Source organism: Homo sapiens, chromosome 2 (genome assembly GCF_000001405.40).
Source record: "Homo sapiens chromosome 2, GRCh38.p14 Primary Assembly".
NCBI lineage: Eukaryota > Metazoa > Chordata > Mammalia > Primates > Hominidae > Homo > Homo sapiens.
Window position 1 is genome coordinate 151,326,977 of NC_000002.12, and position 13,884 is coordinate 151,340,860.

The window sequence follows — 13,884 nt, forward strand, 5'->3', positions numbered from 1 at the left end:
ATTTTTTATTCTCTAAATCTTAAAGGAATAATGTTTTATTCTTTTGTTTTTGTTTTATTTTAAAATTCTTAAATATTTATTATTAACCATTTTTCTTTTCTTTCTTCCTTTTTCATCCTTCCTCTTTATCACTTTACCACATGTCATAATTCTTGACTTCCTCAACATAAAATATTGTTTATTAATTAAAATATTTACTTGGTGGAAGAAAAACAACATGAACAAATAAAAAGCAATAGGAGAGGGTTGTACAAAATAGAAGTTATAGTTAATGTCTCTCTTACACAGCATTCCAAGCACAAGGGAGCGGCAGTTTCACAGTGTCAAGAATCCAGATTTTTCTGTCTTGCTCTGTAGTGTTATCTCTAGGGTTGCTATTCAAGATTGTTTTCTATCTTGTTGCTTTATATTCCAGATCACAGAATTGGCAAGAAATTAGTCACATATACCTAATGCATGCAGGGTTTAAAACCTAGATGACAGGTTGATAGATGCAGCAAACCACCATGGCATATGTATACCTATGTAATAAGTACCTATATAAAAAACCGGCACATTCTGCACATGTATCCCGGAACTTAAAGTAAAATGAAAAAAAAAAAAAAAAGAAAGAAATTAGTCCCATAGACACCCCTAGATTTGGCTGTGAAATCTACCACTTGGCAAGCCTTGTATACAGAGATATGGTCCTTAAGCAGGCAGTCTTAGGCCCATGTGAAAATTCCTACTAAAGAAGAATAGAACATACAGTGGACAGTGCTGGCATTATTTTCTTACTCCCTGAGTACGCGGATACTCCATAAGACTTACCCTTTGGAAGCAACCACCGTTTATATTAGAATGCAAGAAGTTTGCAGATCAGGTGCAATGGCTCAAGCCTGTAATCTCAGCACTTTGAGAGGCAGAGGTAGGCGGATCACTTGAGCCCAGGAATTGGAGACCAGCCTAGGCAACATGGCAAAACTCAATCTCTACAACATAATACAAAAATTAGCCAGGCATGGTGGCGTGTGCCTGCAGTCCTAGCTACTAGGGAAGCTTAGGAGGGGGGATCACTTGATCCCGTGAGGCAGAAGTTACAGTGAGCATAGATCACACCACTGCACTCCAGTCTAGGCAACAGAGTGAAACCCTGTCTAAAAAAAGAAAAAAAATTTAGACTGCCATTCAAATACGGCAAAGTAAAACACCTGTTCACCCTCACTGCCACCCAAAATCTCACCAAATTGTTGGTAAAGAAATGTAAAATGGAGGCCGGGTGCAGTGGTTCATGCCTGTTATCCCAATATTTTGGGAGGCTGAGGCAGGAGGATAACTTGAGGCCAGGAGTTGGAGACCAACCTGGGCATCACTGTGAGACTCTGTCTCTACCAAAAAAAAAAAAAAATTAATTAATTAATTAATTAGCAAGGCATGGTTCCAGCTACTCAGGAGGCAGAGGTAGAAGGATCACTTGAGCCCAGGAGTTCAAGGCTGCAGTGAACTATGCAAACTATGATCACATCATTGCACTCCAGCCTGAGTAACAGAGCAAGACCTTGTATAAAAAAAAAAAAAAGAAAGAAAGAAAAGTTCAAAAATTAGGCCAGGCGCGGTGGCTCATGCCTGGAATCCCAGTATTTTGGGAGGCTGAGGCAGGTGGATCATCTGAGGTCAGGAGCTCGAGACCAGCCTGGCCAACATGTGAAAACCCATCTCTACTAAAAACAAAAATTAGCCGGGCATGGTGGCAGGTGCCTGTAATCCCAGCTATTTGGGAGGCTGAGGCAGGAGAATCGCTTGAACCTAGGAGGCGGAGGTTGCAGTGAGCCGAGATCACACCACTGCACTCCAGTATGGCAACAGAGCGGGACTCGTCCTAAAAAAAAAAAAAAAAAAGAGAAAAAGAAAACTTCAAAAAGTAATAGGCACAGAGAGAATGGGAGAAGAAATAATAGCCACCAAGAGATGTCAACAAAACAGACTTATGATAACTGATTTAGCAGACTAGCGGAAGCTGAAACTAAATGATTGCAGTAGGGGTGAGGATGAGGGATGCCAAGAAGCACATAGATTGGGCTACCAAGTCCTTCAAAGGCCCAGAAATTAGAGCCACAAGTTGTCTCTGAATATGGGAAGCAGATGAGGCTAAAATCGGGAGGACTGGCTGATGTCTTGCATAAAAGCAGTTCAACCAGTACATCTCCTCATAACCTGCACAGCCAGGCAACTGACCCTCCTTCTTCTGCAGAAGGCTTGACATTATTTTCAGGGGAGGTTAAACCAGAAAAATCTCTAGACTCAAGGATAGCAGGTATGCAGGCATGATTGAGGTAACTTACTGGCAACACAGAGATCAAGTACAAATCTGCATTCTGAACAATGAGACTTACCAACCTCAGCACCCAGATCATTCCATCACCACCATCCTGAGATGAAAGTGGAGGATTCCTTTCTGGAGAGAGTGACCAGCCCCAGAAAAGAAGGCCAACAGCTACTGCCCAGAAAAAAAAAAAAAACAGATACCTGAACAATCACTCTGCTATAAACTCCCTACTTGTCAGACCTCATACATACAGAGCTTCCAGTTGTCAAGGATCATCCAACATTTGATAAAAGCTTCTTGCTTGGAAGAGGGAGATAAACAAATATGTGGGTGCACAATAACGCAAGGAACGGATGAATATGTTTTTAAAACTTATAATTAATATTCTAACAAGGATAAGAGAATATATATAGCATTTAAGAACAAAGGAACAAGAAACTATTAAACTGGAGGCTGAATATTAACTATTAAACTGGAAACTATTAAACTGGAGGCTCAAAAAAAAAGAAGAAAGAAAAGGAAGGAAGGAAGGAAGGAAGGAAGGAAGGAAGGGATCCAAAAAGCTTCCAGAGAAAGAGACAAAAAAATAGGTCACATACAAAATATTACAGACCATAAAGACAACAGTCTTTTCAATGAAATTGGATGTTGGAATAAGCTTTTACAGTTTTAAGGAAAAATGATTAACAATATAGAATTGTATTCTCATGCAAACCAATCAAGTTCAAATATTGAATGCAGTTTTATAATTCTGTAAACAGTTTGGAGCTGAATTAGGAACAAGTGCATAGAAAACTAAGTAAATAGGAGGGAAAAGGCAATTATCACTTCCAGAGAAAAACAAAGACTTGTGCAAGAATTAATATTTAATCATAGTACACTCGGCTAAGAATAATATTTGCATAGTCATGATAATATAAGCACTTAATATTCTTTACATTTCTGATAGAACCATATTGGGAGGATGGGAGTAGGAAAGTATAGAGATGGTAGGCAGGAGATAAGAGAGCTAAATCCTCATCTTTTATGATACACAAAATAGTTGAAAATGAATGGTGTCTAAAATGAAAAAATAAGAAATAGCACTATAAGCATATTATTATAGAAAAACAGAGCCAAATACCTGAAGAAACTTCTGAAATAATGTAAAATGTTTGACTTTGAAAGTGGAAATTATGAGGCAGCAGTTGAGAAGTCTAGCAAGTTACCATATTTTCAGTCTTCTAGAACTATCTGACTTTTTAAACTCTGATAAGTATAAAAATTAAATTTTAAAAAGCCAAGGCTGTTTAAAAAGGTGTTTCCTTTCTAAGAAGGAACATTTTTTGATATAGAGTTGACTTGAAGATATCTACCATAATTTTTTAATTATTGATTTTTCTGTTAGGTATTAAACGAAATTCCTAAGCCTCTTTGTGCCTGTTGTTTTTTGTTCTTTAATTAAACTTTTAAATTTTGAAATAATTATAGATTCACATGCAATTGAAAGAAATTGTTCTGAGTTCCTATGTGCCCTTTACCCAGTTTCCTCAATGGTAACACTTCACCACAAGGATCCTTGCCAGACTGTTTTTCAGAGTGACTTCACCATTTGACATTCTCATCACCAGTGGATGAAGTTTCCAACTTCTCCATATTCTCACCAGCACTTGTTATTATCTGATTTTTTATTCTATCAATCCTAGTGGGCATGAACTACTTTTGATTTGCATTTCCCTGATGACCAATGGTGTTGAGTATCTTTTCACACACTCATTGACCATCTGAATATCTTCTTTGTAGAAATGTCTATTCAGATCCTGTGCCAATTTTTCAATTTTTATTATGAGTCCTTTATATTCTGGATACTAGACCCTTATCAGATACATGGTTTGTAAGTTTTTTCTCCCATTCTAAGAACTGTCTTTTGCCTCTTTAGTTTAGGAAACTGCCAAACTGTTTTTTTAGAATTGACTAACCATTTGATACTCCCTCCAGCAGTATATGAGTGATTCAGTTTATCCGCATTCTCATCTGCATTTGTTATTGTCATTGTTTTTAATTTTAGCCCTTCTGATAGTGATATCTCATCATGATTTTAATTTTGCATTTCTCTAATGGCTAATGATGTTGAATATCTTTTCATTTGCTGTCTGTACACCTCTTTAGTGTATACAGTCTATGGGTTTTGCCCATTTTCTGATTGGATTGTTTGTTATTTTGCTGTTGCATTTTGAGTATTCTTTATGTATTCCAGATACTAGTCCTTTGTTAACTATATGGATTTCAAAGCTTTCTCCTAGTCTGTAGCTTGTCTTTTCATCCTGTTAACAGGATCTTTCAGAGAGCAAAGGTTTTAAAACTTTCGATGAGGTCCAATTTATTAATTTTTCCCTTTATGAATAGTGTTTTTGGTACCATCTAAGCACTCTTTACCTAGCCATAGATCCTTAATATTTTCTTCTTTTTTCCCTAACTTCTATAATTTTACATTTTACCTTTGAGTTCATAATCTGTTTTGAGTTAATGTTTGAATAAGGTGTGAGGTTTAGGTCCTGACTCATTTTTTTGCTTATGGATGCCTAATTTTTCCAGCATCATTTGTTGAATGTCTGTTCCTCCTGAAATGTTTCACCTGTGTCAAAAATTAGTTGAGCATATTTGTGTGGATCTATTTCTGGATTTTAAAATCTATTCTATTGATCTGTGTCTATCCCTCTGCCAGGACACATTGTCTTCATTACTATCGCCATATAGTATGCCTTAATATCAGGTAGAGTGATTCTTCTTTCTCTGTTCTTTCAAGATTGTGCTGCCTATTTTAGAACTCGTGCCTTTCCATATCAATGTTAGCATAAACTTGCGTAGGTCTACAAACACTCTAATTTTTAAATTAATTAAAATGTATATAATGGCTGTACACAGTGGCTTATGCCTGTAATCCTAGCACTTTTGGAGGCTGATGTAGGAGGATCGTGCCACTGTACTCTGGCCTGGGCAACAGAATGAGACCCTATCTCTTAAAAAAAAAAAAAAGTATAACATTTAAAAGAGCTATCTAGCGAATATAACTTCAGTAATTTATTTGTCTTTTTAAATTATTTTTGAGATATACAGTATAAGTCAGTTTAATGCACGTGATTGGCATTGATATACTTCTTGGCAAGCAACTTAAAAAGTTCAGCAAGTCAGTAAGTATTTATATTGCTTCAGATAAGTCAATTAAGGCAAAATGGAGGTGAAATTGTCATTTGCTTTTAAAGTTCTGCATATCATGAAAGTGTTTTATGCCAGGCATGGTGGCTCATGCCTGTAATCCCAGCACTTTGGAAGTCTGAGGCGGGTGGATCACAAGGTCAGGAGTTCAAGGCCAACCTAGCCAACATAGTGAAACCCCATCTCTACTAAAAATACAAAAAATCGGCTGGGCGTGGTGGCTCACACCTGTAATCCCAGCACTTTGGGAGGCCGAGGCAGGTGGATCACAAGTTCAGGAGATCCAGACCATCCTGGCTAACATGGTGAAACCCCATCTCTACTAAAAATACAAAAAATTAGCCAGGTGTGGTGGTGGGCACCTGTAGTCCCAGCTACTCGGGAGGCTGAGGCAGGAGAATGGTGTGAACCCAGAAAGCGAAGCTTGCAGTGAGCCGAGATCGCGCCACTGCACTCCAGCCTGGGCTCCGTCTCAAAAAAAAAAAAAAAAGTACAAAAAATTAGACGGGCATAGTGGTGGACACCTGTAATCCCAGCTACTCAGGAGGCTGAGGCAGAAGAATCGCTTGAACCCGGGAAGCAGAGGTTGCAGTGAGCCGAGATCACGCTGTTGCACTCCAGCTTGGGTGACAGTGCGAGACTCAGACTCAAAAAAAAAAAGTAAGTGTTTTACTATGAAAATACTACTCAGGCAAACAGTAAGAAAGGTATAATCAATCTACTAGAAAAGTCAACAAATAGTATGAGCAGGTAATTTCACAACAAAGGTATAAAGGAAGATGCTGGAACTCCCTAGTAAGCATAGAAATGCAAATTAAAACCACAGGAGACTATTTGATGGGGGGCAGGATCTTTGAAAATGTTAAACATGCACAGCTTTAACCTACAACTCTACTTCTAGGAATAATTTACTATACCAAAACACTTATGTGCATATAGGCATTTAATATATAACACAGAATATCCATGTTAGCGTTGTTTATAATAGAGAAAAAAATGCAAACGACTTAAGTTCAGAAATATGGTACTCACCAAGTTAATTGTGGTTAAGTCATATTATATAATACAGTATAGTCTTTTAAAAAATGAAGGGAGTCTTACATGTATTGATTTGAAAAGATCTCTAAAATATATTGGATAAATAAAAAAGCATGCCTCAAAGTAACATGATTAAGACTAAAAATATGTAAAAAGGCACATCTACAAATGTGTGTATAGATATGTAGAAAGAAAAAGTAACAGCCAGGTCTGGAAGGACACACAAATCTAACTGTTAACAGAGGTTATCTATGGTGAGGGAATGAGATTGGGGGTAGATTGGGGAGAGTGAGGATTAAAAAAGAGGCTTTTTCAAGTTTTACTTTAAATATATCTGTGCTGTTTTAAAATTATTTTTACAATAAGATTTTTTCATTTATTTCTTTTGTACTTAAAATATCTTAAGGTGTGTGTGTGTGTCAGATTAGATTGCTGTCAATCGAGTAACTGTTACTATTACTCCGTAAATCAAATTGAACTCATTTGATTTAACTGAGTATATAAGAGTGACATAATATTGGTAGCCCAAAAATCAATTGAATTTCCCATTTAATTTATTGAACTATTTTAGATTGGTGCTATTTATGAGGGATTCCTCCCAAATATTACTAAACAACTCCCTTGGCATTTCAGACAAGGCAAATCTGGTCCTCATTAGTGAGTCATTCTCTTTGGCTCTGGTAAAACAAACATGGGATTTCAGAGGCACAGAAGTGGGCCATTGACATCCTCTTAGATTGTAAGAAAAAAAATTGTGAAAGTCCACCATTGTTTTCATAGGCAGGGAATACTGGCAATCCATTCCTAAAGGGGCAAGTATTTTAAATTTATTTACTGAAGGCCTGGTGGATTCGTTTCTCTTCCATCCCAGCCTCCCAGCCTCCTGTGGCACTTGCACATTCATTTCCTGTGGTTGCAGTGTTTTTATCAGGGCTTTTGTTTGCAACTGAAACATGGCTTGCTATCTTAAGTAAAAGAGAAATTTATTAGAAGGTCATCAAGGCTGACTAAATTAATGAGTGGCCAGATGAGCAGGCTTGAAAACTGAGAATAATCTCAGGGAGGACTGTGTGACCAGGTCAAACAACAGAAACCCAGGCAACTGTCCTCCAACAGGACAACAAGGCCTCTGCCTCTGTGACAGATAGGGCCTCCATCTGTTCCCACGGCCTTCTATCCGTGAATGAAAAAGTGCAGGAGAGAATGTCCAATAGGATGATCCAAGGCCACATGTCCCCTGAATCTGCCAAGGCCAAGGTGGCTACTACCTCCTCCTGAGAACATATGTATTGAGAGATTTTTCAAAAGACAGAAGAAGGTGCTAAAACAAAATGCCACGGTTTCATGGTGGCCGTGGCCAAGGGCAAAAATTACCTGGCCCTAATAGGGACATATTAAGTTGTTAAAATGGTGCTCTAACAATACTCAGAGCACAGTTCTTGAGTCACCCTTGCTTTTTTCATAAGATTGCTCATTTCTGGCCGGGCGTGGTGGCTCACGCCTGTAATCCCAACACTCAGGGAGGCTGAGGCGGGCAGATCACGAGGTCAGGAGATCAAGACCATCCTGGCTAATATGGTGAAACCCCATCTCTACTGAAAATACAAAAAATTAGCCAGGCGTGGTGGCAGGCAACTGTAGTCCCAGCTACTCGGGAGGCTGGGGCAGGAGAATGGCGTGAACCCGGGAGGCGGAGCTTGCAGTGAGCAGAGATCACGCCACTGCACTCCAGCCTGGGCGATAGAGCGAGACGCGTCTCAAAAAAAAAAAAAAAAAAAAAAAAAAAAAAGATTGTTCATTTCCATGTAAGAAGAATATATCTTACCAGTCGCAACAAATTATCAAGTGGTCTTGTTTCATTAGCGATCAATAAACAGCCAAATATTGGGGAAGCAAGTGCTTTAAAGTATATAGAAGGCAAAGAACCGGCTATTATAGATTACTCTTTTCAGCTGTGAGAAGTTATAATCAGCTTTAAGTAGGTAAAGATGGTGAATTTAACAAAAGCATCAATATTCTCTCCATCCTAAAATCCTGCTAAAATGACACTAAAAGGTTATATTTTTTAAAAATCTCTAATATAAAGATTTTGGAAGCTAGAAAGCATATGAGAGGGGCAACTACCTTAGCAGTAAAGATAGTTAAATCCTATTCCAGTAGTGAGGCATTCTAAGAACATTAACTGGTTTATATTATAGAGAAAAAGAAAAAAGCCTCAGGAATTGGTAGTGCCATATACTTAGAAAAGTCGAAAAAATGTGAAGGTTGGTTGAAAGTCTGTTGTGAAATCATCATAACTCCCAGATCCATGCCCCAACCCTGATCAGCTTGGCCACCGCCCTTCTCCTTTCCCTGTGGAAGACTGGAGGGTCTTCGTCCTTGAAGGCAGTAAAATAGAGGGTCTCTGGACAGGGCAAAATCAGTTACAATGGAGAATAAATGTGATATACTAAAAACAGAATGATTAAGCGAATATTTGCATAATGAATGATGAGACCCTGGCGTTCGTCCCCCACACCACTCCTGCAACCTGACAGCCAGGACCAGTCCAAGGGTTCAGACCCAAAGATACTGACATTGAGGGTTTTTCAACAATATAGCCCAGCCAGATCACCCTAGAATGAATGTCATAGTCAAGAAGACTCACCCGTGCACTCAGGACACTATTCATTATTTTACTCCCAATTCTTAAATATGAGCAAACACTCATGGGTTATCAGAATTGCAGAAACATTTAATATAAAAAATGATGAAAACAAAAGAACAAAAGGAGTTTGGAGGAAACAGAGTCTAAGAAGGAAGAAGTAAACTTCAAAAACCAACATAACCACTATCCTTATATAGTCAAAAGGAGATATTACACTCATGAAAGAAAAATATCTACTTTTAAATGGCTTATTCAAGGAGCAGAAAACAGATCTGGGAAATAAAAGAAGGGTGATGGCAGAAATGAAAAACTCAATAGAAGCATTGGAAGATAAAGTTAGGCAAACCTCTCAGAAAGTAAATAAAAAAGACAAAAAGTATAAAAGAACAGTGAAAAGATCTGGAAAACTAGAGGGTAAAACTAGAAGTTCCAACATCTATTATATAGAAACATGAATCCTAGAAACAGAAAACTTGGAAAAAAAGAAAGGAGAAAATCAGTAGCAAAATCATCATGAAAAATTCCCAGTACTCAAGGACATATGCATTCAGATTTTAAGAACTCATTGTCCAACACAGTGGTAGAAAAAGTCTTTCAAAAAGATGCAACTTTGTGGCATTTCAGAACACCAGAGACAAAAAGATTTTTACAAGATTTTAGGGTTGGGGAGACAGAAATTCAGGAATCAAAATATCGACTTTTCAACAGCAATACCGGAAGTCAGAAGCAATAAGCAATGTCATTAAAATTCTGAGAGGGGTTATTTCTAACTAAGAATTCTACATTCAGCCAAACTATCAATCAAGCATATCTGCCAGGATCCTGGCAGAAAAGAGATGGAGCACTCCAGGAGGATAACAGAGGAGGCTTAATAAAGACACTGGTTATAAAGATTTGGGCAGAACACCATTACCACTCCCAGGCAGGAAGGGAGAAATGATTTATCAGCACCCAGATGGTAGCTGTATGTAGGCGGCCACAAGGGCTCCATGCTCTAGCAGGGATGCAGACAACTGCCTCAATCTGGCAGGAAGGGGGTCAGGAAACACATATCCCAACCTGACCCTCCTCCTTCCTTCCTCCAATCTCATGCCAGTGCCTCCCATCAGCCATACACTCCTGAAGGTCAGATGGCAAGTGACCCTGATGATGCTGTCTACAAATCTCAGCCTCCCAGGAAACCAAGTAGGGTGGAGAAGGTAGAAATCATTATAAAGACTAAATTTGTTAAAATGTGTAAAGCCTTGGCCAGGCACGGTGGCTCACGCCTGTAATCCCAGCACTTTGGGAAGCTAAGATGGGCAGATCACCTGAGGTCAGGAGTTTGAGACTAACCTGGCCAGGCATGGTGGAGGGCACCTGTAATCCCAGCTACTCAGGAGGCTGAGGCAGGAGAATCGCTTGAACCCGGGAGGCGGAGGTTGCAGTGAGCTGTGATCACGCCATTGTACTCCAGCCTGGGCAACAAGAGCAAAACTCTGTCTCAGGAAAAAAAAAAAAACTATTTTCTGCTGACTCCCAGGGAATTTTCAAATTTTCTCCAGATTTATTAGCAAACACGTCATTTGGAATAAATTTTTATTGGACTTACTAGTAGTGATGTGTAATTCAGAAGTAGTGTGACTGGGCAGAAATAACTATTAAGAAATGGCTCAGCACTACAATTTTCCAGGAACATATTATAGCTTTAATACTATATTCTGATGAAATAACTTAATCATATTACCACAGTGCAATATTTTGCAAGATAAGTACACTACCATATAATCCCCAGAGTGACAAATAGGAAGGAGTAATAGGTTGGGGGGAGGTCAGCCACATCATAATAATAGAATTGAACTGAACTCAAAACATGGTCAGTTTAAAACACAAACAGTCATTACTATACAAATCATATTGTTTAATGTTTCATCACAAAAGTAATCAAAGAGATGTAAGTTGTTAGCAAAGAGTTTTAGAATTATGCTATCCAATGTTTGTTGGAGTGGAGGAGAAAAGGTACTCAACTAGAGGGCAAGTTGTCCTTATGTATTAAAAGTGCTTAAAACTGGTGTGGCTTGGTGTGGTGACTCATGCCTGTAATCCCAACACTTTGGGAGGCCAACATGGGAGGATCGCTTAAGACCAGGAGTCTGAGATCAGCTTGGGTAACATAGCAAAGCTCCATGTCTACAAAAATAAAAATAAAAGTGCTTAAAACATTTATTCACCTCACAGCCAATGTTGGGGAGACGGATATGCAAAAAGATACACTACGCATAGTAGAGATATGTCCTTTGTGCTATGGGAACACAGAGAAGGAAATGATTCAAGTGATTAATTGCTCAAGAGAAGCAAAGAACACTTCACAAAGGAGATGGTATTTGGATAGAACTTTGGAAAAGCAGTAAAAGTTCGCTTGACAGTAAAATTTCAGCCATAGTCCCAATACTCCTATAGTGAGACTTTTGATGTGGCTGGAGGGGTGGGAGATAGTATCTAGAGAGAGGGACAGTATTTGAAAACCAATTGACAATGATGAGAAAAACATTTGCTTTTTAGTTAGATGAACATTACTTTTAAAAATCATATTGTAGAGAAAAGCTAAGCCATGTATATCTGCAGCACTTCTTCCCCCAACCACCAAAAACCTCTAATCTGGAAAAATAAGATAAAATAAGTCTGACATAGAGAAATATTCAGGAAGCTAAGGAGGAATTTGTCCCACAGAAAAAGGCAGCCAGGTTAGCAAGGGGTGGGTGAGACAGTCAGGGGCAAGTAGCCTGAGACGCCACACAACATATAATTATATTAAGTATTTCAACAGTACGATAATTATATTTATTTTCATAATAATTAGTTGTGTTGAATCTTTCGAGAAAAAATTTGATCTTAATAGAGAAGTAATATTTACCATTTTTACAAATAAACTTCTATAACCATTCATCTACAAGCACACCAAGAAGAGTGACAGAAATGAGGCAAATTTGGGATGGATTTTTAAATACCCAGCAAGATGTGAATGCAGCAGATTGTTGGCAGTAATTCGTATTAACGAAGCGGAAGAAGAACAGCAGTGTTTGCTTGCATTCTGAGTCTCCTCTCTTCCTCTTCCCTGGTGTAAAGTGACTTTCTCTCTCCTCCCTCAAAAATCTCTTCTTCCATCTCTTCTCATTTGAGAAGTTCCCTGACATCGAAAGAACCAGCCCGCGCTCAGAGCAGAGAGATCTTCACATCCTGCTGTGCACCTTTTTCTGACCTGCTGGGAGGGACAAAACCAAGAAAGGAAAGGAAGAGAGGAAATTCCACTTGGAAAATCCTAAAAGCATCACTGTCTCCTGGAATGTTTTTCTGTTTCAGAAAACTGTGTGCCTCTGTGCACACAGGCACTCAGGCAGCCTGTGTGCATGTGCACATGCGTGTGTGTGTGTGTGTGTGTGTGTGTGTGTGTGTGTGTGTGTGTGACAGAGAGAGTGTTGAAAGTTATTCAGCTGCCAATTGGTTTGCAATTCCACTGCCATTGATACTGCTCTTTTGGTAAGATGGAGAGAAATGAGGATAATGACGACTGAAATGGAAGACCTTTTTTTAAATGGATTTATGTTTTATTCTAACTTGCGAATGAAATATTCCAGACCAGTTGTGGTGTACTCAAAACTAATTTTCCAAAATTAAAAACATTATCTGTATTATGATAATCCAATTAAATACTTGATGAGGACTTCTTTGAGAAATGCACGATAAAGTCACAAGGGAATGAGTTTTCATTGAGTGCCGACTGTGCATCAGGTATCGCAAGCCCTTTTCATAGATTAGCTTCCTTAAATCTCAGAGGAGCACTGCAAAGCATATATGTACCCACATCTTACAGACAAGTAAACTGAAGTTCAGCGAGAAAGTAATATGCTTAAGGTCACAAAGGTAATTCACCTGAATTCAAATCTGCGTTCTTCCTAGTACCAGGCTGTATGGTTCTTACAAATTACCATTCTGATGCTGATTGGTATGCTCCTTAGGTTGCAGGTGCTATTTTTTAAGCCACACCTATACATTCAGTGAAATAACTGCTATGTTTGTGGCGTGCCTTTTCCAGAACAGGAGTGTTTTCAAAGAATACATTTGTTGGCCGGGCACAGTGGCTCAAGCCTGTAATCCCAGCACTTTGGGAGGCCGAGGCGGGCAGATCACATGGTCAGGAGATCAAGACCATCCTGGCTAACACGGTGAAACCCCGTCTCTAGTAAAAACACAAAAAATCAGCCGGGCCTGGTGGCGGGCGCCTGTAGTCCCAGCTACTCGGGAGGCTGAGGCAGGAGAATGGCGTGAACCAGGGAGGCGGAGCTTGCAGTAAGCCGAGATCGCGCCACTGCACTCCAGCCTGGGCGACAGAGCAAGACTCCGTCTCAAAAAAAAAAAGAATACATTTGTTTATGCGCTCAACAAATCTTACCATGTGTCAATGTTATGTCCTGACCTCTTTTTTTTTTTTTTTTTTGAGATAGTGTCTCACTCCTATCGCCCAGGCTGGAGTGCAGTGGTGAGGTCACAGCTCGCTGCACTCTTGACTTCCCAGGCTCAGGTGATCCTCCCACCTAAGCCTCCCAAGTAGCTTGAACCACAGGTACACACCACCATGCCTAGCTAATTTTTTGTATTTTTTGTAAAGATGAGATTTCACCATGTTGCCAAGGCTGGCCTTATACTCCCAGGCACAAGTTAT

At 39.1% G+C, this 13,884-nt stretch overlaps 1 long non-coding RNA gene across 1 annotated transcript in view, besides 1 other annotated feature; it reads right to left on the bottom strand.

The window, feature by feature from the left end:
* Positions 1–10,849: 10,849 nt before the first annotated feature.
* The window catches only part of LOC101929319 (uncharacterized), a 41,546-nt gene continuing 38,511 nt past the window's right edge, over positions 10,850–13,884 (bottom strand). Inside the window, exon 3 of the long non-coding RNA NR_110248.1 lies at positions 10,850–12,423. This is a non-coding gene — a long non-coding RNA (uncharacterized LOC101929319). The remainder of the gene's footprint in view (positions 12,424–13,884) is intronic.
* Positions 12,129–12,649: an enhancer, noted in NCBI's record as "OCT4-NANOG hESC enhancer chr2:152195619-152196139 (GRCh37/hg19 assembly coordinates)". NCBI's record gives its function as "activates a minimal SCP1, AML or CMV promoter by ChIP-STARR-seq in primed H9 embryonic stem cells {active_cell/tissue: H9 hESC(primed)}" and the evidence as "EXISTENCE:reporter gene assay evidence [ECO:0000049][PMID:30033119]".